General features: G+C 43.4%; 1 protein-coding gene across 6 annotated transcripts in view, besides 5 other annotated features; it reads left to right on the forward strand.

Annotated features, from left to right (window-relative positions):
* Nucleotides 4,378-4,897: a silencer, noted in NCBI's record as "silent region_16557". NCBI's record gives its function as "represses an Ori minimal core promoter by ATAC-STARR-seq in GM12878 lymphoblastoid cells {active_cell/tissue: GM12878}" and the evidence as "EXISTENCE:reporter gene assay evidence [ECO:0000049][PMID:35858748]".
* The window catches only part of CYFIP2 (cytoplasmic FMR1 interacting protein 2), a 129,472-nt gene continuing 109,610 nt past the window's right edge, over nucleotides 4,471-24,332 (forward strand). For 3 of the 6 annotated variants that reach the window (NM_001291722.2, NM_001037333.3, NM_001291721.2), the window contains exons 1-2: nucleotides 4,471-4,543; nucleotides 23,687-23,826. In NM_001291722.2, the coding sequence (NP_001278651.1) occupies nucleotides 23,710-23,826 (117 nt within the window). In that variant the 5' untranslated portion in view covers nucleotides 4,471-4,543; nucleotides 23,687-23,709. Of the gene's footprint in view, nucleotides 4,933-5,128; nucleotides 5,295-7,671; nucleotides 7,932-23,686; nucleotides 23,827-24,332 lie in introns of those variants that run through there. The other 3 variants (XM_047417100.1, XM_011534516.4, NM_014376.4) reach the window with 3 other exon arrangements.
* Nucleotides 5,578-5,687: an enhancer, noted in NCBI's record as "active region_23508". NCBI's record gives its function as "activates an Ori minimal core promoter by ATAC-STARR-seq in GM12878 lymphoblastoid cells {active_cell/tissue: GM12878}" and the evidence as "EXISTENCE:reporter gene assay evidence [ECO:0000049][PMID:35858748]".
* Nucleotides 10,111-10,300: an enhancer, noted in NCBI's record as "active region_23509". NCBI's record gives its function as "activates an Ori minimal core promoter by ATAC-STARR-seq in GM12878 lymphoblastoid cells {active_cell/tissue: GM12878}" and the evidence as "EXISTENCE:reporter gene assay evidence [ECO:0000049][PMID:35858748]".
* Nucleotides 10,551-10,760: an enhancer, noted in NCBI's record as "active region_23510". NCBI's record gives its function as "activates an Ori minimal core promoter by ATAC-STARR-seq in GM12878 lymphoblastoid cells {active_cell/tissue: GM12878}" and the evidence as "EXISTENCE:reporter gene assay evidence [ECO:0000049][PMID:35858748]".
* Nucleotides 11,827-11,966: an enhancer, noted in NCBI's record as "active region_23511". NCBI's record gives its function as "activates an Ori minimal core promoter by ATAC-STARR-seq in GM12878 lymphoblastoid cells {active_cell/tissue: GM12878}" and the evidence as "EXISTENCE:reporter gene assay evidence [ECO:0000049][PMID:35858748]".

The following is a 24,332-nucleotide window of genomic DNA, read 5'->3' on the forward strand; positions in this document are numbered from 1 at the left end:
ATCCTGGCACTTTGGGAGGCCGAGACGGGAGGATCACCTGAGATCAGGAGTTCGAGACCAGCCTGGCTAACATGGTGAAACTACATCTTTACTAAAAATACAAAAATTAGCCAGGTGTAGGGGCACATGCCCATAATCCCAGCTACTCGGGAGGCTGAGGCAGGAGAATCACTTGAACCTGGGAGGCGGAGGTTGCAGTGAGCCAAGATCATGCCACTGCACTCCAGCCTGGGCGACAGAGTGAGACTCTGTCTCAAAAAGAAAATCATAATAATAATCCCATTTTTGAGCATTTATTATGTACCAGACTCTGCTTAGTGTGTTACATTATCATTTCATATAACCTTCACAAGAATCTAAGGGATATACTTTTTTGTTTTGTTTTGTTTTGCTTTGTTTTGATACAGTGTTTTGCTCTGTTGCCCAGGCTGGAATGCAGCCGCACCATCTTTGCTCACTGCAACCTCCACCTCCTGGGCTCAAGCAATTCTCTTGCCTATAAAATGAGGCAATTTTGAGCAAGTGGTCAGGTTCTATCTACAGAATGGCCAATGTAAATTCTGTAACTGACCATCAAGTTTATCTTTTCCTGCCACCCACATAAATACTTAGAACCAAATGTGTTAGCAAGCTCATAGCAGGTAGAGCTGTGATTGATTTTTGTTTTGTTTACATTTTGGTCTTATGTACATTCGATTCTCCATCTCATCTCTCTACTCTTTTCCTTCTTTTTAAAAAATTTCTTGCTGATTTTTAATTTTTTAACATAATGTATTCCTGTAACTTACATTTAATATGTTTTTAGAATAAGGTAGCATATTAGTAAACAAATGGACTTAGCTTGGAAGAGGGAAAGTGAGGCTGTATGAGATTGTGGTAAAAAGCATGGGTTTGACTTCACTACCTTGGGCAAATTATTAAACCTTAATTGCCTCAATTATAAAAATGGGAAAAATGATTGTATTTTCCTTATAGAAAAATTACGAAAAATTAAATGAGGTAATGTACTTGGTAAATGTTAGCCATTATTATTATTATCATTATTTATGTTTTCCCTTCATGCCCATTCCAGATACTTCATTACTGGTGTCTATAAAGCAGGGTCTCCTGATAGTTTTAAAATACATATATATATATATATTTTTTTTTTTTTTGAGACAGAGTTTTGCTCTTGTTGCCCAGGCTGGAGTGCAACAGTGTGATCTCGGCTCACTACAACTTCCACCTCCCGGGTTCAAGCAATTCTGCCTCACCCTCCTGAGTAGCTGGGATTACAGGCGCTCGCCACCATGCCCAGCTAATTTTTTGTATTTTTAGTAGAAACTGGGTTTCACTATGTTGGCCAGGCTGGTCTCGAACTCCTGACCTCAGGCAATCCACCTGCCTCGGCCTCCCAAAGTGCTGGGATTATAACTTGAAGCTTTTCTAAAACACAAGGTAATGTTGCCACATGGACAACATGTGGGCCACAGCTTTGCAAGTACCAAAGCAATTCTTATTGATATCCTCTACCATTTCATTGCTGATGCACAGCTTGGGGTTGGATGTGAAGGAAATCTGAAGGCAGTAGACAGACAGCTATACATTTCAGTGGCAAAGTTTAAAAATGTCACCTATGGGTGTTCATTCCATCCATTTTTACTGAACTCCTGTTAAGTACCAGGCTCCAAGGATGCAATGGGAAAGCAAGACAGACATATCCCTGCTCCCTTAGATTTTATGGTCTCATGGTGGAATACAGGGAAGTGTGTTGACAATTATAATGCAGACTAATACGTGGGGTGATAGAGGGAGCCCAGGCAGCTAAGGACACATAGACAACTAATCTCAAGCTAACCCAGACATGTAGGAATCTTGGAGGAAGCGACATCTAGAGGAATACCAGGAAGATGAACAGAACTTCATCAGGTAAACTGGGAAAAAGTGTGGAATGTGGAGGGAGGGAATGGGGGGACAGAAACTGCCATTGAAGAAGCCTTGCATGTACGAATGTCGAGCACAACAGAGAACACAGCAAGTTTGAGGAACTAAAAGCTGTTCCTTTTAGCTGAAGCACAGCAAGCTTGTTCACATGGAGAGATAGCTGCCAGCTCTTAAAGACCCTCTCCGGCCACTGGAGAGTTTGGGCTTCATCGGGGGGCAGTGGGGAGCTAGGGAAGTGCCTTAAGCCTGGGAGGGACGTGCCCTTTAACTCATGTAATTTTCCACATTCAGAGGGAAGTTGGAGAGCATCCAACTTACTTCACTTAACAGGTGAGGAAACAGGGGTGAGGCTCCTTGCCTAAGATCATTCTTCTGTTAGTTGCAAAACTAGAACCAAAAGGCAAGCCTCTGGATTTCCAACACAGTGGCTTCAAAAGACCATACTGCTCTCCTTTATACACAAATAGAACTCAGAGGTCGGAGTTATTTTTGCCTAAGATCTAACCAAATATATATGTAATAGTCTTTTCTGTTTTTAGGCAACTTGTTCCTGAAGGTGAAAAGACAGGGAAGGAACAACAGGGAGAAATACGTCTTCCAAAAAACTATACCATCTGCAATAATATGCCCCTTAGAATGAAAATCTGATTTATTGGGATTCTCATTGTTAAGTATTTGTAATCACTGAACTTGAAATCCCAAGGATCACGGTGGAAAATGAAACATTTTTTAAAAAGGAAACCTCAGTTCTGTTTTTAAACCCATCCTCCACAAACACCCCCACAGCTTTTCACACTGAACCAGGGAAGAAATGTATGTGTGTGTATATATATATATATATAAGTCATTTTTTTCCGAAATAGCAATTTGAATTGGAATTAGCGATTTAAGATCAAACCACAAGGAATTATGGATTCTGAGCACGTGGGAAATAAGGTGAGATCAGTAAAGGAAAGCAAAGGCTTCCACAAGTCCTTTGCTGGAGCTTGAATAACGGGGCTCCTCCACAAATTGCCCTTATTAGGAACAGCTGAGTGATTAAGTATAAATTTGTGGGCCTTAGGAAACCACTCCTTATATCTACATACACTCCACAATGTCTCAAATGTTTTCAAATTATTTACCCTGTAAGGTATAAAGGGCAACTGTTATTCCCTGTGTTGCAGATACGGTGACCTCTGTGGAGCAGAGTGGTGAAGTGACCTGCTCAGGTGTCTCAAGGTTAGAATTTGGTGCAGCCTGACTTCAGCCTGGTCTGAAGGCCTACCAGGCTGGATTTCAATGAGAATTGTTTCTTTCTCTTTTTCTTTTCTCTCTTTCTTTCTCTTCTTTCTTTCCTTCTCTTCTTTCTCTCTCTTTCTTTTTCTTTCTTCCTTTCTCTCTCTCTCTCTCCCCCCGTCTCTCTCTTTCATTCTTTTTTTTTTTTTTTTGAGACAGAGTCTCACTCTGTCACCCAGTCTGGAGTGCGGCGGCAGGATCATAGCTCACTGTAGCCTCAATCTCCCAGGCTCAAGCAATCCTCCCACCTCAGCCTCCTGAGTAGCTGGGACAAAAGGTGGATGCCACCACACCCATCTATTTTTTTTTTTTTTTAATTTTTAGTAGAGATGAAGTTTCGTTGAGTTGCCCAGGATGGTCTCCAATTCCTGAGCTCAAGCAATCCTCTCTCCTCGGCCTCCCAAAGTTTTGGTATTACAGGTGTGAGCCACCGCTGGGCAGATAATTGCTTCTTTAAAGAGCCCGACACGGCAGATAAGCCTTGAAGAGAAAGGTACCTGTCCTCTCAGTGCTTCCTGCCACCTATTTGTCCGTTAGGCAATTCTTCCAGAATGAAGTTGAGGCAGGCCCCTGTAAAAGAGGTGGCAGCTTCAGGGACTCTTCTCCAGGGAACTGGAAGGGAGCGGAAGAACTTATTCTTAAGCGAAGGAGCCCTATCAGCGACCAAGCTCAATTGGTGGAAGGCCCCTTCCCCTAGCCCCAGTTGCATCTTCTGTCACTTCACCCTGCTCCTTCTCCTCAGAGCACTTTGGGCTGTAACTGGACGTTTGCTAGGTTAATTTACACCTGTTTCTCCTGGCAGGTGATAAAACTCCAAGGGGGCAGGACCCTGTCTTTTGTACACCAGTGCACACCCAAGTCCTGGCACGGTACTTGGAACAGGATAGGTAATCAATAAAGACTGGGTTGATAAAAGAGCACTTGGAAATCATGTGGGGCCAATAAGATCCGAACGCGGCCGAAGCTCTCGTCCTCGGGTTGCTGCAGGTGTGGTTCCCGGTGATGGAGGCCGTGGAAGAAGCCTTCCCTCCCTTTCCCGCCCCCAGGGCAGGAAGCCTGGGGGCTGAGCGGTCCTCCGAAACCGAGAGGCAGGTCCTGGGTGCGCCGGCGGTACAGCGGAGAGCGTGGAGAGACCCTCGCCGCAGCCATTTCCTGCCCTTTGTGTGACAGCCGCTGCGGCGAAGGGGCGGGCGCTGGGTGGGGGCGGAGCCGCGGCGGGCGGAGCAGCGGGGCCGGGGCGGGGCCGAGCGCGGCGCAGCGGAGCGGGGCAGAGCATCCTGCGCCCCGGCGCGGGGCCCTGCGGTAGCCTCAGGCCCCTCCCCTGGACCCGCCGCAGAGCCAGGTAAGCGGCCCTCGCAGGCCTCGGGCCGGGCACGGGGACTAGGATGCCGCCGGGGACGGGGATGAGGCCGTGAGGATGCGCGAAGGGCCGCCCCCTCTCCCGGCCCGCGGGGGGCGCTCGGCGCTGTGCCCGGGCTAGCCCGAGGCCCGGCCTCAGGCCCCACGCGGCCCCTTTCCCCCTCGGACCCACCGTGCGTCCCGCGGCACGGACCCTCTGCCCGGGAGGCGCGGGCACATCGCGGAGCTCCGGCGCGGCGGCGGGGGAGCCGCAGCAGCAGGTGCGCGGCCTGGGCCGGAGCCGCCAGCCCGGGAGGAGGCGGTGCTAATCTCAGGGACCGGAGACACCTGCAGCGGCCGCGAGCCCGGCAGCGGCGACATCCTCGAGTCCAGGTACTGCAGAGCGCTGGCCCCTGCCTCTGCCGCCGTGACCACCGTCACCTCCCCCAGGGCCAGCGAGAGCCGCCTGGGCCCGCCTGGCAGCCGCCTCGGGCACACAGAACGTGTGATGGGTGGGGCGAGGGGCGCAGCGTCGATGTTTGGGGGCGGAGGGCTTTGATGAGAGAGGAGCAGGTCTGACCCGCTTGGAAGCTTTCTGGCCTACACTAGCATCGCTCACCAAGCTGGCTGCGGGCACGGTGGAAGTGGGGGAAGGGGATGAGTGGGCTGACTCCTGGGGGAAAAGGTGGTTTTTTTCTTGAGCTCTGAAGAACCAGGAAGATGCTTGCCTGTCTGTTGTGGCGTCTACTTTTCAGGTCAGCCCTACCCCTCACCCCAAAGAACAGCCCACCTATGTGCAAAAGAAGAGGAGGAGGTGCTCTCTGCTTGGGGATGGGGGCAGGTAGCATGTTCCACATAAGTATGGCCCTCTATATCCAGAACCCGGCTGGAAAGGACACTGACAGCCCAGGTGCCTCCCCAGCACAGGGAATCTGATTTTGACCTTTGCTTGCCTACTTTCCCCAGCACAGTGGAAACACTCACCAGGGCTGATGAGCCATCAGCTGTCCTTCCAGCTAGGCCAAGAATGGGACAAGGATCTTTTTCTGCTAGTTCCTGGGTGCCTGTGCCCTCAGCATGGGCAGGGAGACGGAGGCAGGCCTGCTGGCAGGAGGGGCAAATCAGGAGACTGTCGGTTCCTGTGTTCCCATTTCCTGCCTCCTGTCTGTGTCCCAGTTAGGGCAGTGGGTCTCACCTTACTCTTGGATACAGGCTGTGCCAGCAACCTGGGTCCCTGAGATCTTAGAGGGCAAAAATCAGGTCCATATCTTTGGGCAGGCCTGTGAAGGCCTTGATGGTTGCTTTCTCCACCATTAGACCCTCTCTCTGTGGCCCTCCTGGTGGCCTCCCACCTCCACTTCCATACAGTGCCCTGCCCTTCCCCCAGTCTCCAGTGTCAGAAATGGTTTTCAAGAAAGGAGCCAATGATTGTGTTTATCTTGAAGAGCTAAATACAAAAGAAGTTCCCATTTGATGCAGAGCAGGTGCTTTACAAGTCATTTGACCGGAAAAGAAACAGAGGATGGAGGCATTTTAATGGGAAACAAAGCTTTAATGGGAAACACTGTAGAAATATTTGCTATCACTAATGGTAGAATTTCAAACAGTGGGCTGGAAGTGGAGGTGGGGAGCTGGGTAGTTCTTTTGGGAACGGGTCCCTGAAATGACAATATCTAGCAGCTGTCAGCTCTGTATTTGGCAAGGGCAGCTTTGGCCCTGCAGGCAGGAATGCTGTAAGAGTGTGTATGCATGCATGTGCATGCGTGCATGTTTGTTTGACTGGTCAGGTGTTACTGTCACCAGAAGGCATTTTTTGAGCACCCAGTGTCCACTTTCGGGATGAGAAACTTGTGTACACAGGGTTCCTCGTTGGCATTGGCTGCCCTTTGCCAAGGCAATTATTAGACCTCAAGAAGATAGTGTTGTTGCTTACAAAGTCAGTGCCTCTAGCTAGTTGTGCGCACTGAGCCTCTGGCTGGGGGCATTAGCTCTCTGCTCACTAAGCTTCTTTATTATATTTCCTGGCCAGTTCTGACCGGTTCTGTAGGCACCCAAGGCTGCCTTGTTCAGTCCCTGCTGGAAAATGAAAAAGGAAAAACTTGCTTTAGGCATTAGGCCAAGAGTCGGATGTACAACCCAGTGGGGTTGGAGAGTTTTACTCAAATCAGATGCTGGCCCAGAGAAGGAAGTAGACATGAATTCAAAAACCGGTAAAAGGCCCTGGTAGAACACTACATGACCCCTCTGATAAATCATGCCCTCTCTGATGTTCAGTGGCCTCTGCTGCTGTCATCAACCAGAAAGCTGAATGAGATGATGAATCGGCTACAAGCTAATTAACGGGAAAAGCGCTCCTGGAAAACAGTACGGGTCCCAGTCCCTACGTTTAAAGATTGGACTACACTCTCAACGCAGCTTCTTTGGACCACTGTTGGCCCCAGGGGTCCACCAAAAGCGTCACAAAATGGCCTTTTGTAGCCTCCATGTGGCCACCGTAACAATGAGTCTATTTCTTTACTGGCAAGTATTAATTATTCACTTGTAATTGACAAAGCCAGACATCAGTCACCTCACTGGAGTCTTTATGAAAGGCTTTTGGTCCTGTCATTCTGAGGAGCAAAGCCATGCCTAGGGTCCAGGGGATGGCCCCTGCATCAGTAGTGAGATGGTGGGAGAAGGGGGGCAGGCTGCTGCCTTCTTGGCAGTGAATGGAGGCAGGGGAGGAACTAGAATATCTTTGGATGCTCTTACTACCCAAGGGGTGCATGAAAGTGCCGAGCAGAATGCTTAGCACATAGTAAGTACTAGCATATTTATGTATTTATTGTTATAATGTATTAATTACATAATCATTAAGAATTTGGCTTATGTATGTAATCAACCCTTGGCTATTACCAGCCCCTCTCCCTCCAGAGCTTTCCTGAATTTTGCTTTTTTGAGGGAAGTTGGTCTCTGTGACCAGTAAACCCAGCCCCAAGTTTACCGGCCGAAGGAAGGGAAAGTTAAGAGTGATAGGGCATGAAGTGAAAGGCTTCAGGTGGGAAGTGCTCTTAAGTAGCACAAGAGAGGTGGGTGGAACCTGAGTAGGTAGGGAGAAGTGGGAGGGAACAAGCCAAGCAGAAGCCCAGGGCCATTCTCACATTTCAACACGTAGAGTTAAGGAAGGGCCTCTTCCTCTGTGAGAATTCAGCATTTTGCAACCATCCAAAAATGTTGAGGGCATGCTTTGCTTCCAGGGCAGACAGAGCAGCACAGTGAGCATGGGACACAGGATCCCTGACTTGCTGTGTGCCCTTAAACCAGCCACTACCTCTCTGACGTTCAAAATTGAGCAATGGAAGGCAGCCTGCCCAACTGTTACCTGCCTGTCATCATGAAAGCCTGCGGATGAGGTAATGTCTGTAAATCCCAGTCTGAGAAAAAAAAGCCGTGGAAATAGAGAAGGAGCCTCCTGAATGTGTGACTCTTTTGGGTAAATGCCCTCCATTCCTTAAGAAACAATTTATTAATTATATATTGTGTGTCACTTTAAGAAGATGGATCTGTGGCCTCTCTGTACTGTTGAGCCAATGGGAAGCTTAAAGGCACTTTGTGATTCACAGATTCTGTCAAGGCCCCTGGATGGCCTTGTCTGTACAAAGACACTTCAGAATTCAGTCAGTGGGTATGGGACGCCTCCCAGGATGCAAAGAGCTTAGATATTGGCTTTCTAGCCATGGGCATTATGCTAAGGGCTGTGTGTGATGTACCTCAAAAAATAGCCATTTAAGCCATACTTGGGCCCTGGCAACAGAGGGTGCAAATTCTTGAAAGAAATTGTTTTGAGAAGGCAGAGCTTGAGTTCAGGCAGAATTTCTTGCAGGGATCATTCTGGTTGCGTGGCATTTTGATAGACTTTGGGCAACTCAGATACAGGCAGTGAGAGAGGGAAGTAAATAGGACCTTCTTGCGAGATGCCTGAGAAAGACCCAGTGATGACTTCATCAGTAGACCTTTTGATTCTGTTTGCGTCATTATTTGGTCATTGTAGAGCAATGGTTCTTAGGCTTTAATCTCTAGGTAAAACAGAGGTGTGTTTAGTCTGTCCATGTTCTCTGTTTTCTAAGTAAGGCAGGAGGTGAGGTCCTCTGCAGGAAATAAAGGTGATGGACTGGTTAGGAAACTTCAGGAGACTTCAGGGTTTGGAACAGTTGCCTATGTGGGTGGAATAAGAAATAAACTGGGGAAGAATGAGAGAATTGTCTAACTTCACTGAAGGCCTGGCTGAGATCAAAGAGAATTTGCAGGGCTGACCCTCAGAGAAGACATGCAGTAACTCTTAAGGAATATCCGAGAACTATTTTTGATTTGTGCTTTTAAAATATGATGCTTTAAGATTTGTTTTGGCAAGATATGAATGGCAAGATAAGAATTCAGAACTAGAGGTCAGCCCCCTATCTCCAAGTCTGTTATACTTCCATATGGGAAAGAGAAATGAGGACCTGCTTCTTAGGGTTTGAAGTGGAAACTATACGACAGAAGGATTTTCTAAAGAACTCTCCTCAGATTCTTATATTGACAAGGCAGCCTTGGATATGGGACCTTAGAGAAGCATGATATTTTAACTTTCTTGTTAATTTTTTTAAACCAGAAGTTAAGAATTTTGGTCATTGGCTCATGCAGTCAACAAATCATTCATGAAGTATTAATTAAGCAAGTAATTCCTGGTGTGTGCCTATCTCTGTGCTGGTTGCTATGGGTCAAACTCAGATAAGATGACTATCCTTGGCATTCTTAGCAATCCAAAGAATTAGTGAAATATAAAGCAGTTTGTCGTGCAGTTAAAAACTGTGGACTCTAGACTGTGAGTGCTAAGGGAGTGAGAGAAATAAAGGTCATTAAGGGGCTTGGCTGGTCAGACCTTTGTGGAAAAGGCATGTCTTCGTGTGGGCCATGATAGATCGGTAAGATTTGAGAAGGGAAGAAGACAGTCCATAAGGGAGTGGAGACAGTTTGAGCAAAGGCACAAAGGAAGAGTATCCTTGGACAGGTTTATTATGCCCTGTATACCTTGGCCACAGAGAATGGTCTGCATGATCCTTAACACATGTCTTTAAGGAAGCCCTTTGGATGGAATGTCTCAACTGTAGTCATGGTCATTTGCTTTAGTGTTGGGAGGGTCCTGAGAGAGGCCCAAATCCAGTGATTCTTAACTGGTTGCTGTTGTGGTTTTTTTAGTACACAAAATGGACAATGTTGACATGCTGAACACATCAGCCCCCACAGCCAACCCCCCAACTCTGCTCCATTCCTGCCACTCAAGGGAAGAGATGAACATGCAAGCAATAATATCACACAGAGATCTTGAACCCTCGCCTCACATACAATAAAATGTACCTTGTTTGCAAACCTCAGTGCTTAAGCTATTATTAGCACAAGTTACCCGCAATAACCTTCACAAGGCAGGTTTGGACATCATGGTTGAGAGAGAACCAAGGCTAACCTCCACATTTTACAGACAGAGAAATTTGCCCTTTTAGAGTGAGTGAAAATGTGATTTGGGGGCCTTTGTCTTCATACTGAGCCATGTTCGAGTTGTGGTTTCACATCGATGGAGCTGAGTTCCACGTGCTCCGATCTGGTGGCCAGACCTGAAGCCCTCCTCTTTGTTTCCGTAGCAGATGCATGGCTTCCCTTGTGAGTTTTAGCAGGTGCATCTGAGAGGCAGCTCCTCTCCCCACATACGCGTCATGTTGGTGTTCCTCATATGACAGCCCCAGGGCCCCAGCAGGAGCAAATCAGCAAGCCACCTTGGTGGCATGACTTCCCCTCCTGAGAGCATGAGGCCGTTCCCCTGAGCTGCTGGTAGCCTGGTTTGGTGTCACCACAAAGGCCACCTCAACCTTAACAACACAGGAAGCAGCTGGGCAAAATGGCAAACGAAGGGGAAAGTCCTTTAGCCCCCACCAAGATCTTTTTCTCTGTCTACTCAGTCTACTCATAAACAACGAGGAGGATAGGCCTTCTCCAGTGGCCCAAGTCGAGGCTGACTTGATTTCTCGGCTCTGACTGCAGGTCCCCTGTGTGGAGAGAAGCTGTAGGTGATAGGGCCTCTGGTCCCGGAGGACAGGAGCAGGGGACTGAAACAACAAAGACCACCTTGCCAGTCAGTGCTGGGTACCGGCCAGGTGTCTGAACTGCTAACAAGGAGACTTTGGGTGGTTGTCTTCTAAAGCAAATTATTAAATTTTGATCAAAACGATATATACAAATGTTTTAAAAAATCAAATAGTATTGAAAGCCTTATAATGAAAAACAACCATCCAGCACCCACCCTCCCCTAGAGGCTGCCACTTTTAACTCACTGTTTCTTCTAGTAGCTGCCTCCAGATCTCTAAATGATATGCTTACACTGCTGTTTCTCGATTTATCTATTCTGCACGTTGTCTATTTACTTCCTGCTGTGATGGATGGAGATTTCACTTTCTTACACCATCTCCCTCCCTCCCCTGCCCCCGTCTCTCAAGATAGGAAGAGCTCTATTTTAACCTAAATCAGGTTTAAAGTGTCTACATTATTAATATATATAAATGATGATCACAGACAGCCAAGTAAAGTCCTTTGATTATATTTCCTTTCTTAGAGGGCTTTTCATTTCGCTGCAGAATTTTTGTTGCAATACTTGTCTTTTTATTTATCTATTTATTTATTTTGAGATGGAGTTTCACTCTTGTTCCCCAAGCTGGAGTGCAGTGGCGTGATCTCAGCTCACTGCAACCTCTGCCTCCCAGGTTCAAGCGATTCTCCTGCCTCAGCCTCCCGAGTAGCTGGGATTACAGGCGTGTGCTATGACACCTGGGTAATTTTTTAATTTTAGTGGAAATGGGGTTTCACCATGTTGGTCAGGCTGGTCTTGAACTCCTGATCTCAGGTGATCCACCTGCCTCGGCCTCCCAAAGTGCTGGGATTACAGGCACGAGCCACTGTGCCTGGCCCTGTCCTTTTCTTTTAAAGCTCTGTGTCATATGAGTTATTCTATTGCAGTCCCTTGTCTTCTCAGGAAGTGCAGTGTTAACCCTAGCTCCACCCCTAACTAGCCCAGTGACCTTGCACAAGTCCCTTCTCTTTTCTGAGCCTTGGTTTCCTCATCAGTAGAAAGAGAGCTAGGCTCCCTTCTTGTTCTCATTCTAAACCTCAGAACCTATCACCCCACCCACCTCACAGGCAGTAATATTATTACTCCTCAGTTAATATTATCTGAGAAGTCTTTACTCCAGGGTGGGGCAGCCCCAGGACCTGACAGATGGCAGAGAAACCAAAACAGGCAGGGGCAGGGGGAGGGAACAAACAAGCTAGCTGGGCCTGCCCTGTATGGTCTAGTTCACCCCTGCAGTTTAGGGGGCTGCTCTGTGGGGTGGTATGGTTGTATCTATTACTCTTTTCCTCCCCTGCTATCCCCGTTGGTTTTTGCTCTCCACAGCCTCTGCTTGTAGGGGCATCATTTACAGTCCCCAAACTCCCCAAGCTCCTACTCTACCCCCAGCTCTCTTTGTACCCCTTCTGCTTATGTTACACTCAAAGTTTCCCAAAAAGTAGTTATAAAAATACTAACTTTTGGTAGCAGCTTTATTGAAATATAGTTTGCATACTGTACAATTCACTCATTTAAAAAATATAGTTCAGGGCAGGCATGGTGGCTCATGTCTGTAACCCCAGCACTTTGGGAGGTCAAGGTGGGTGGATCACCTGAGGTCAGGAGTTTGAGACCAGCCTGGCCAACATGGCAAAACCCTGTCTCTACTGAAAATACAAAAATTAGCCAGGCATGGTGGCAGGTGCCTGTAATTCCAGCTACTCGGGAGGCTGAGGCAGGAGAATCGTTTGAACCCGGCAGAGGTTGCAGTGAGTGAGATCATGCCATTGCACTCCAGCCTGGGGAACAAGAGTGAAACTCTGTGTAAAAAAAAAAAAAAAAAAAACCGTTCAGTGGTTTTTAATATATTCACAGAGTTGTACAACCCATAATCGTAGTCAGTTTTAGAGCATTTTAGCACCCCAAAAAGAAATCTCATGGCCTTTAGCACCACCACCTATTTCCCCCAACCCCACCCCTTGGCAACCATAGATTTGCCTATTCTGGGCATGTTTAATAAATGGAACAATACAATACGGGGTCTTTAATGATTCGCTTCTTTCACTTAGCATAATATTGTCAAAGTTTATTCATGTTGTATCAATATCAGTACTTAATTACTTTTTATGGCTGAAAAATACTCCATGTGGCTATACAATTTTTTATTTATCAGTTGATGCATATGTTAGTTCTGCTTTTTAGCTATTACAAATAATGGTGCCATGAACATCCATGTACAAGTTTTTGTGTGGACCTGTATTTTCATTTCTCTTGGGTGTATGCCTAGGAGTAGAATTGCTGGGTCAAATGGTAACTGTGTGTTTAAAAATTTGAGGAAATACCAATCGATTTTCCAAAGTTGCGGCACCATCTTACATTCCCATTAGCAACGGTATTCTCAGTTTCTCCACATCCTTGCCAACACTTGTTATTGTCTGTCCTTTTCATTATAGCCATCCTAGTGGGTGTGAAGTGGTATCGATTTGCATTTCCCTAATAACTAAGGTTATTAATCTTTCTGTGTGCTTATTGGCTATGTGTATATCTTTGGAGAAAAATCTGTTCCTTGCCTATTTTTAAAATCAGGTTCTCTTTATTAATGAGTTTTAAGAATTCATTTTTTAAATTTATTTTTATTTAAAAAAATTTTTTTGTAGAAACAGGGTATCACTCTGTTGCCCAGGCTGGTCTTGAACTCCTGGCTTAAGCGATTCTCCCATCAACCTCCCAAAGTACTAGGATTACAGGCATGAGCCACTGTGCCCAGCCAAGAATTATTTACATATTTTATATACTTAGCAAATACATGATTTGCAAATATTTTCTTCTATTCTGTGGACTTACTTTCTTGATGGCGTCCTTTGAAGCACAATTTTTTTTATTTTGATGTTTAGTTTATTTTTTATTTTGTTGCTTGTGTTTTTGTTGTTATTACATAATTCAAGGTCACAAAGATGTACTCTTATGAGTTTTATAGTTTTAGCTCTTACATAGATCTTTGATCCATTTTGAGTTAATTTATTATATATTACATTATTTATACCTCACACCATAAAACAAATTTTGCATGTGGGTATCCAGTTGTCCTAGAATCATTTGTTGAAAAGAATATTCTTTCTACATCTCTTGTCAATTGACCATAAATGTGAGGATTTATTTCTGGATTCTCAGTTCAATTCCATTAATTTAATCATTGTTCATTGTCTTCATGGTAACACCACACAATTTTGATTACTGTAGTTTTGAGTATGTTTTGAAATCAGGAAGTGTGAGTCTTCCATTTTTGTTCAGTTCCTCCCACCCCCAAGATTGTCTTGATTATCCTGAGTGAGTCCCTTGAATTTCCATATGAATTTTAGGATCAGCTTGTCAATTTCTGCAAAGAAACCAGATGAGATTTTCATAGAGATTATGTTGAATCTGTAGGTTAGTTTGGGCAGTATTGCCGTGTTAACAATATTAAGCCTTCCAACCTATGGACATGGGATATCTTTTTATTTATTTAGGTCTTTAATATTTTCAACAAGGTTTTATTGCTTTCAGAGTGTATGTTTTGTACTTATTTTGTTAAGTTTATTTCTAAGTATTGTATTATTTTTGATGCTACTATAAATAGAACTGTTTTCTCCATTTTATTTTCATATTGTGCATTGCTGGTATATAGAGATACTACTGATTTTTATATGCTGATATTGTATCCTACAAACTTGCTGAACTTGTTTATGACTTTCAATAGTTTTTAGTGGATTTTTCTTGGATTTTCTATAACAAGACTATGTTATCTGCAAATAGGAATAGTTTTACTTTTTCCTTTCTAATCTAGATGTCTTTTATTTAATTTTCTTGCATAATTACCTTGGCTAGAACTGCCAGTACAATGTTGAATAGAAATGCTAAGAGCAGACTTATTTGTCTTGTTCTTGATCTTGGTGAGAAAGCATTAAGTCTGATATTAGCTAAGAGTTTTTTGTGGCCACTTATTGTCAAGTTGAGGATATTCTCTAATCCTAGTTTTTTGAGTGTTTTTATCATGAAGGCGTTGAGATTTTGTCAAATGCTTTTTCTGTGTGTATTGAGATGATATGGTTTCTGACCTTTATTGCTATAGCTTATTACGTTAATTGATATTCTGATGTTAATGTTAATCCAATCTTAACATTCCTGGGATAAATCTCACTTGTTCATGATGCATAATCTTTTTTATATGTTTCTGGATTCAGTTTTGCTGAGGCACTAACTTTTATCGAGCACTTTCTACCAGCCAAGCCATTTACATGGACTAACTCATTGAGTTTTCAAAGCCTAAGAGATAGGAACTATCATTATCCCTTATACCAAAATGAAGAGAGTGAGGCTCAGAAAGGTTATGTCACCTACTCAAGGTCACACAACTAGGTATTGGCAGAGGTAAGATTCTAACTCAAGCTATCCAGTTCACCTCCACACTAAAATGCCTCTCATATGGATATCAGTGGTGGACATGGGATGATTTTCAGATAATACCCAGACCTGTGTTTATGTTCATTACTATGTTTTTTATGGCTCCTCTGTTTATGGCATATAATATTAGTTTTCTCTCTGTGATTGTGATATAAAGCTTCCTTCTAAAATGAAAAGTGGCAAAAAAGAGAATCCCTAGAAAAAAATATTAAGTAAGAATTATCCTGGCAGTTTATGGATATGACTATGTATTCTATGCTGATTTAAATTATCTGTATGGGTTTTTTCTCTTTTTCTTTTTTTTTTTTGTGACAGAGTCTCGCTTCGTCACCCAGGCTGGAGTACAGTGGCTCAATCTCAGCTCACTGCAACCTCCACCTCCCAGGTTCAAGCAATTCTGCCTCACCCTCCCGAGTAGCTGGGACTACAGGTGCGCACCACTATGCCCAGCTAATTTTTGTATTTTTATTAGGGATGAGGTTTCACCATGTTGGCCAGGCTGGTCTCGAACTCCTGACCTCAGGAGATCCGCCCATCTTGGCCTCCCAAAGTGTTGGGGTTACAGGCATGAGCCACTGAGTCTGGCCTTATCTGTGTAGCCACCAAGTCCGGTCTTATCTGTGTAGCCACCGAGTCTGGCCTTATCTGTGTTATTAATAGTGAAGGAGAAGGAATGGAAAAACTAGAAGTAAGGACATGGCCAACTTCAGGTCGTCTCCTCTCTCCTATGTTGTCAGGAGATTGAGGTGTGTTCATGAATTCTTTCATTCAGTACTTCCCCAGTGCCTAATCTGTTTGCAGCACTCTGCTAAGGTCTCTGCATTTTCAGTGATAGGTAAGAAAATGGTCCCTGACCTTGAGGAGCTTTCACATGCATGGTTCTACTCCAGAGAGGGCATGTTATGTTTTATTTCATGGGCAAACTCAGATTGATTGCTGGTGGCTTCCTGGAGCTCAGTATTTCATGAGGATTCTGAAGCTGTCTGTGGACTTAGTGGAAAATAGAGTCATTACCAATTAGCAATGTCTGTCCTGGCATGGGAGGAAGAAGTAGCAGTATTTGGGTTTTATTCTGGGGCCAAGAAAACATCATAGAGTGCATTTACACAAACCTGGATGGCATAGCCTACTACACACCTAGGCTATATGGTATATAGCCTATTGCTCCTGGGCTGCAAACCTGTACGGCATGTTCTTGTACTGAATACTGTAGGCAATTGCAACACAGTGGGAAGTATTTGTGTATCTAAACATAGAAAAGGTACAGTAAAAATATGATATTATAATCTTATGGGAACACCATCATATATATGATCCACTGTTGACTGAAGCATCATTATGAGGCAAATGACTGTAAATTTTTTTAATAGGAACAACCTAAATCTCCCTTTTATTTATTTTTATATTTATATATCTATATAATATTTTCTTTGTAGTAATATATGTATACATATGTGTATATATATGTATATGTGTGTGCAGTATGTTTGTGTGTGTGTACGTATACTTATATAGCCTCTGGCTGGAGCGCCATACGGACATGGAAAATATTTCCTGGCCTCTTGATGTTCATGAAACACAAAGGTGACAATTACCTAATCTTTCTAGCTTGCCAGAGTTGTGTTCTTCTTGAGGAAGGAAAAAGCAGCCAAACTGGGAAAAAAATATGTTTGGCACCTTTCAAAAAGGTACAAAACCAGGTGTGGTCTAGAAGAAAAGGCATAGAATTGGGAGTCAAGGTATCCTGTTTCTACCCTACCTCTGCCACTAGCTGACCATGTGACCTTGAATAAAAGTGTTTACTTCTCCATAACACAGTGTCCTCAGAAACACAGCAAAAATTATACCTGCTGAATTGAATTTGCAGGATAGTTGTGATTGAGAAAATCAATGTGAAAGATCTATAGAACTGAGATATTAGTGTAATAATAATAAACCTTCCTTTTTTTGGTAGGAGAATTGTTGGAGTATTTAATTCATCCTCTCTATTGAAAACAGGCCACAGACTAGCGAATGTTAAACGAAAGTATGGGAGGCCATTGTTTAAGACTAAGCTCCTGTACTAGGCCCCTAAAAACCAGACCAAATCAAAATGGAGTCACTCATGCTAAATGCCACTCTCTACCTGAGTCAGCATAATAAGCAAATCCTCTCTGCCTTAATCCTTACAAAAAAGTAACCTGAAGTAACTTGATGTTAACTAATCATTTATTTTTCTATTGTTGTGTTTTCTTATTCCCACCTTACAAAACCCACAGTTTTGCTATTGCCCAGTGGGAGCTTTCATTCTATTGTATAGAAAGGAGGTGCTTCAATTCATAAATCACAAATTAAGGACAATTAATTCTATAAATTTATTGTAATTTTGTCTTTTGACATGTCTTTGCTGGCTACTGTGTTAAGTATTCTACATGCTGTAGTTATATAATCAAAATAAACATTGAGGACAGGCACTATTGTAAATTGTCACCCTTACAAGGTAAGGAAACTGAGGCTCGGAGAGGTTAAGGAACATGCTATTGTTTATATAGCTCATAAGTGGCAGATGACAGATTGAAACCCAGAACTCAAGCTTACCCACTACACTAGCCTAATATTTCACTTCAGTAAAAAGTCTTAATATTTCATTTCTTTCCAGAAAAATCAAACAGATAATGACAATGCAAGTATTTTGCTTACAGAGAAACAGGGTTTAAGCTGTAAATGTCAGAACCTGCATTTCCAAAGCCATGTTCTCCTGGCAGTCGCCCTGCATTTATGGGACCCACCCCCCTCTTGCTTGGGGTCTGTCAGTCATGTCTGCCTGGGGGGGCACCTAAAGCCCCCCCTTCTCAGAAGCAAATTGCTTGTGTGCCCAATGTTATTATTACTTTTGGTGAAACCAGGCCACCGACTGAGTTTGTTATGAAGACACTGCATTTAAACCCATCATGAATGCCCGCCACTGAGAATTTGCAGCTGTGTTTGGTAAATGATGCTCCCAGAACACTGTTAACTTTTAAATATTTTATTAATTTCTTTTTCAAAATGATGAAATGGTCACATGTTCGTAGACCGAATATAAAGAATCATTCTCACTTGGAAGATTGCGTAACAGGCAGGACACTTGGGCAGGAAAGAAGTACGTTCTTATTTTCATTTATACCTCTGTTCAAATTTCCAGAATATTTTTCCTTTCTGATTGATGTGGATTTGGCAGTGCCTACCAGCACTTGAGCTAAAAATGTCGGATTTCCTTCTCCCTTAGGCACTGAATGATCTACCAATGCTCATAGAAATCCACTACAGAAGTTGTATTTGCCAGGGGAGAAGAAAGATAGCATTAACATAAACAGACTCCTAATTTATTTGCTTTGTAGGTTGTTCACTTACTTATTGATTCTCTTCAAGGGATGTTCAGGGGTACTATTATGCTACAGAGGAGAACTTAATGGTTATTCTGGTAAATGAGTATTTTTGTGTGTGTGTGTGTGATGAAGTTTTGCCCTTGTTGCCCAGGCTGGAGTGCAATGGCATGATCTTGGCTCACTGCAACCTCTGCCTCCTGGGTTCAAGTGATTTTCCTGCCTCAGTCTCCTGAGTAGCTGGGATTACAGGCACCCACCACCACGCCTGGCTAATTTTTTTTTTTTTTTTGTATTTTTAGTAGAAATGGGATTTCTACTAAAGAAAAATTGACCAGGCTGGTCAGGCTGGTCTCGAACTCCTGACCTCAGGTGATCCACCCGTCTCAGCCTCCCAAAGTGCTGGGATTACAGGCGTGAGCCACCACACCCGTCTGTAAATGAGTATTTTTTAAGTTTGAGTAGCCCAGAAGAAACCTAGTTACAGGAGAAAAAAAGGGAAGTTGGATAAGAGCTGGGAGCTTATAAACTGATCTAGGGGATTTTATGAAAAATTTGAAACATATATAAAATTGGATGGAAAAATACAGTAATTTCTATGTATGTGTCACACACAATCTATAGTTACTAACTCACTGCGAATTTGTTTCATTTCTATTCACTCTTCCCCCATCTAGTATTATTTAGAAGCAAAACCCTGTGTCCTTTTATCTATATTTTAGTAGATCTTTCTGGAAGATATAGGTTCTTTTAAAACATAACCTTGATATTATCAAACCTAAATACAATATTTCCTTCATATTATCAAATATCCAGTCAGTACTAATTTTCTAATTTTCTCATAAAGTTATAATTTTATTTGTATGGTGGTTTGTTTGAAATAGGATCCAAATAAGGTCCACACATGATAGTGTGTTCAGTCTCTTCAAAATCTATAGACTTTCCTCCCATCTCTCTTTTCTATCTTTGCAATTTATTTGTTAGAGGTCCTGAGTCATTTGTCCAGCAGAATTTGTCATAGATTGCATTTTGCTGATTACATCACTGGGGTGTAGCATGTTTTTCTGCCCTCTTATATTTCCTGTGAGTTGGCGTCAAAGGCTTAATTAGATTCAGGTGTTTTGTTTTGGATCCAGCATTCTTGGTGCGTTTTTCCATCATTAAGCACATAATATCTGATTGTCTTTCATTTAGGGATGTTAACAGCTGATGATGATCCGTGCCTAGATCCATTTGTTTGTAGAGGTTGGAAAACAAGGATATTATCATTTTTCTGTTAAAAAGGAAAAAAATACTTTTATGGAAAGAAACATCCATCTCTTCTATAGTTCGGTTATCTAGTGGTATAGTTTAAGAAAGACAGGTTAAATGTTTGCTTTTATTTACCAATTCTCAACATAAAGGTTGGTTCACAGGCTCATCTAACAGTAACAAAGTAATAAAAACCAAGCTTTTATTAGATGTCTTTGTGATCCATCAGGGCTCTTCCAGCACATCACTCGATTTTAAAATCACTTGGAATAATAGTCCCTTTCTGTGGAGTTACTCCAATAGTACAACATATATATACATTCATTTGTTTCATTTTACTTTTCGATTTGGGGGCCACTTTTTATAAATTTAAATTTTATTTTATAAGTATGTAAAATGTTTTGACGTTTTCAAAGTCAAATCTACAAAATAAGGCATATTCAAAGGATTCTAGCCCCTATCTCTTAACTGTTTTCCCTTCTTTTCCTGTTTTCCATAGGTAACTAATTTTTAAAAGCATATGGCTTGCCTTTCCATTGTTTGTTTTTTAAGTAGAAGATGTGTGTGTAGACATCTGCAGCCCCCTCTCCTGGGTAAATGAGTGCATGCTCTCCATACCATGTCCTGGAGATCACCCGTAGTTGCATGTAGAGAGGGTCCTCACTCCATTTTCCTGCTGCTTCATATTTCCCTGTACAGTGGCACCATAGTTTATCCAGACAGTCCTCTGTTAATGGATGTATTAGGCCATTCTTGCACTGCTATAAAGAAATATCTGAGACTGGGTAATTTATAAAGAAAAGAGGTTTAATTGACCTCAAGGTTCCACAGGCTGTACAGGAAGCATGGTGCCAGCATCTGCTCAGCTTCTGGGGAGGCCACAGAAAGCTTTCAATCATGGCAGAAGGCAGAGGGGTAACAGTTATACCATATGGTGGAAGCAGGAGCAAGAGAGTGGGCAGTGTGGGGGAGGGAGGTGCCACACACTTTTAAAATGACCAGATCTCCTGTGAACTCAGAACTCACTCATCACCAAGGGGATGGCCCAAGCCATTCATGAGGGACCTGCCCACATGATCCAAACACCTCCCACCAGGCCCCACCTCCAACACTGGGGATTAGAATTCAACATGAGATTTGGGTGAGGGCAAGTATCCTAACTATGTCAATGGATGTTTGCTGTTTTCAGTTTTTGCTATCACAAGTAGTCCTGCTGTGAATGGCCTTGTGCATATATCTTTGTGTATTTTTGTCAATGCATCTTTGGGACAGATTCCTAGAAGTGGGATTGCTGGTCAAATGGTAAAATGCTTATGGAAGTTTGTTAGATATTGCCAGATTTCCTCCTACGGGAGTTGTGTCATTTTGCCATCCCTACTAACAATGTTTGGTAGATCCTGTTTCTCCATAGTCTTGCCAACAGCATGTGTAGTCAAACTTTTGGATTTGAGTCGATCTAATCAGTGAGAAATGGTGTATCTCCTTGTAAGTTTCATCTGGATTTTCCTTATTGAAAATGAGATAGGACACCTTTCAAATGCAGTCTTCCTGGTCCCCTGGTTGGAACCCAGGCATTGTGTTATTAAGAAGCTGTGCACATGATTTTTTGGCACAAGCAGGGCCAAGAACCATTAACACAGAGTGTTTGAAAACACCTAGCGTAGAGGTTGGTATGAAATAAACCTCCACTTATCGAGTGTAATCTCAAAATGTGAGCATGAGCCCTTGGAAGGAAGTATGTAGTAAGGAAGCTGACTTCAGACTATGGAGCTGGACAAACCTGGGTCAGACCTCCCTCCACCACTTGCCAGCACTTGATCCTATGAAATTAAATGCCGAGGTTCTGTTTGTTCATCTATAGACTGGGAATAATCATAGTACCTACCTTTATAGGGTGGATGCAAGATTGAAATAGTCAAGTACTTCGCATAGTGTCTGACACAGAGTAAGGGCTAAAGAAATGTTTCACTATTATTATAATTGGAATTAATGAAGAGAATTACTAGGGCTTTGGAGGTTGAAGATCATTATGCCCAGTAAAATCATTACTCCCTCCTGTAAAATGGACCTAGTAGTAGTGTAAGAAGGAAGACAGTCTTTTTTTTTTCTTTTCTTTCAATGGATCAGTGAAGTGGTTTTGCTGTAGAACTGAATGCCACACTTAGAATTGTGGGGGAGAGAAGAGGAAGAAGCTTAGGTGTGGAGAGGACCTGAAACCACCATAGGAGACCAGCCTTCTGCAGAGGGCAGATGAGGAAGTTACCTCTGGGCTCAGTGAGCCCTCACTGGATGCAGCATTTGCTGTTGTCATGGTACGTGATGGGAAGGTGTGTTTGAGAACTCAGTGAAATGTGAATCTAGTTAGCTGCACAGCAGCCAGTGAAGGCTCAGCCCCAGTCTGCCCTCCCAGCCTTGGGCCTAAGGCAGGTATTAGTCTCGGGGCAGCAGGACCTTAGGTATATTCTGCAGTTGTTTTAGTCCTTGGCAGCCCGTGGACCAAATTCTTGTGTTGATGGTCCTTTTCCCCCCTAATGTTAGACACTGTATTTCCTAACAAGCAAAGCAAACTCACTGACATTCACAGCAGAAATCCCAGCCCCAGGATCTCACAACTCCCTGGGATCGAAGGTGGTTAGGAAGGGATTCTCAGACAAGCACAGTGGCCCTTCTCTTTGTGTCCCTCTTAATCGTGTGTTTAGGGTTGGCTTTATTATTATTAATAATATTTTTCTGAAACTCAGCTTTTAGTGTTTTTGTTCACCTCTACTGTTAACGTTTTATTTTGCTTTGCTTTTTGCTTTATGTCTGCCTTTGTAACTCTCAATCCCTCTGTTCTCATTTCTCTGGGCTGATTTTTGTTCTCTTAAGGTTTTTGAGTGTAACATTAACTTCATTTAGTTCCACTTTTCTTTCAGCTAAATGTGTTGAAGACATGTATTAGTGCTTTCCATCTTTCATTTCTAAAGATCTTATCATTTCTATTTGAATTCCTCTTTAGTTATGAATGACCTTGAAGTATGTTTTATAAATTTTCAAAGGTATGGGATTTTATTGCTACAATTTGCATTATTGATTTCTAATTTCCTTGAATTATATTTAATAATAAGTGAATGTGACTTGTAGGCCATCATTTTTGAAGAAACTTGGGGGAACCTGATTTATAGCCTAAATCATGATTAGTTTTTAAGCAGTGTTTCACATATGTTTGGGGGGAAAAATGAGTATTCTGTTTGCTGGGTGCTGAGTTCTTAAAATAGGAATTAGCTCTAGTTGGGTAACTGTGCTGTTCAGATTCTCTTCAGCTTCTAATCCTGCCAAACATACTATCAAAGCAGCTGCGCTGTGCCAGGGTCTAAGACACAGAAATATCCATTTAGGGCTGATTTGTTTGATGTGGCTCACAAAACATACCCAGGTCAAGGAAGACAGTGGCTCCTCCATCTTTGCAAAGAAGGTTGATTTGCAGGAATTGAGTTATTTTAATCCCAGTTTAATTAGCCTAAAAACCCGGGCTCTGGTTTTCAGTTGATTATCTTGGCTGTCACGATCCTGGATAATTGTATTGCATGGTAATTTAAGAGTGGAACTCATAAATATCCTTATGAAGAACAAAAGGTGGAGAAACTAACCATGACCTATGTTCTCACATCCCACTTGAGGTCCCTCGCTTGTGGTCACGTGACTGTGTGGGCATCACATAATTTCTCTGAGCCTTGATTTTTCATCAGTTATATGGATAGGGTACCACCTTCCATGTTGATCACAGAGGGTGGTGGTGAGGCTCAACCAAGTGCACACAAAATACCTTGTTAGCCATAAAGAGATCCTGAGATGTAAAAGATACACATCGAGAGCACCTTGGGAAGAAGTGGTGAGTGGAAGTGGCCTCAATGCATTTTAACTCTCTTTATTCTCCCAAAGGATGCTGGTCATGGTGCGGTTAAGAGGAATTTTAGAGGCCCCTGAAATTCTCCACTGACCTTCTCTTCCTTCCCTTCAGTGCAGAATACAGAAACTGCAGCCATGACCACGCACGTCACCCTGGAAGATGCCCTGTCCAACGTGGACCTGCTTGAAGAGCTTCCCCTCCCCGACCAGCAGCCATGCATCGAGCCTCCACCTTCCTCCATCATGTACCAGGTAATGGAAATGGTAGATAGCACCAGGGGGCCCAGGAATTCTGGGGATCCCCTAAGAGAGTTTGCCCTAAGGCAGAGGGAAGGGGAGGTCTGCATCTAGAAGGTGAAAGGTTGTGAGCTGATGGAGTCCCTTGTGCGCTGGTAGAGCCGAGTATAAGGAACAGATTAGCTACTAAATGTGCCGCAGGACTGTTTCCCTCCCTCCCCCAGGGAAGTCTTGTTGATCTGCTTTGACCCCAAATACCTTCCAGGCTATTCTTGCTGCTGTACCAACCAAGGTTTTGGCAGCTCTGGCCTCATGAATTAAATATTGCAATTTAGAAACCCCAGAGCCTGCCTGGGTAATTACTTTTCCTTCATGCATGTGAGGAGGGCACTACAACACCTCATAGCAGCTCATGGCTCAGGGAAGCTGGTCACAGTTGTTTGCTTTTGCCTAAGAGAGCAAAGCTTGTGATAAACCACCATCAGATTGTTCCAAACTATGACCTATCAGGGCCGGGAGTC

The sequence above is a fragment of the Homo sapiens genome, chromosome 5 (assembly GCF_000001405.40).
Source record: "Homo sapiens chromosome 5, GRCh38.p14 Primary Assembly".
Classification (NCBI taxonomy): Eukaryota; Metazoa; Chordata; class Mammalia; order Primates; family Hominidae; genus Homo; species Homo sapiens.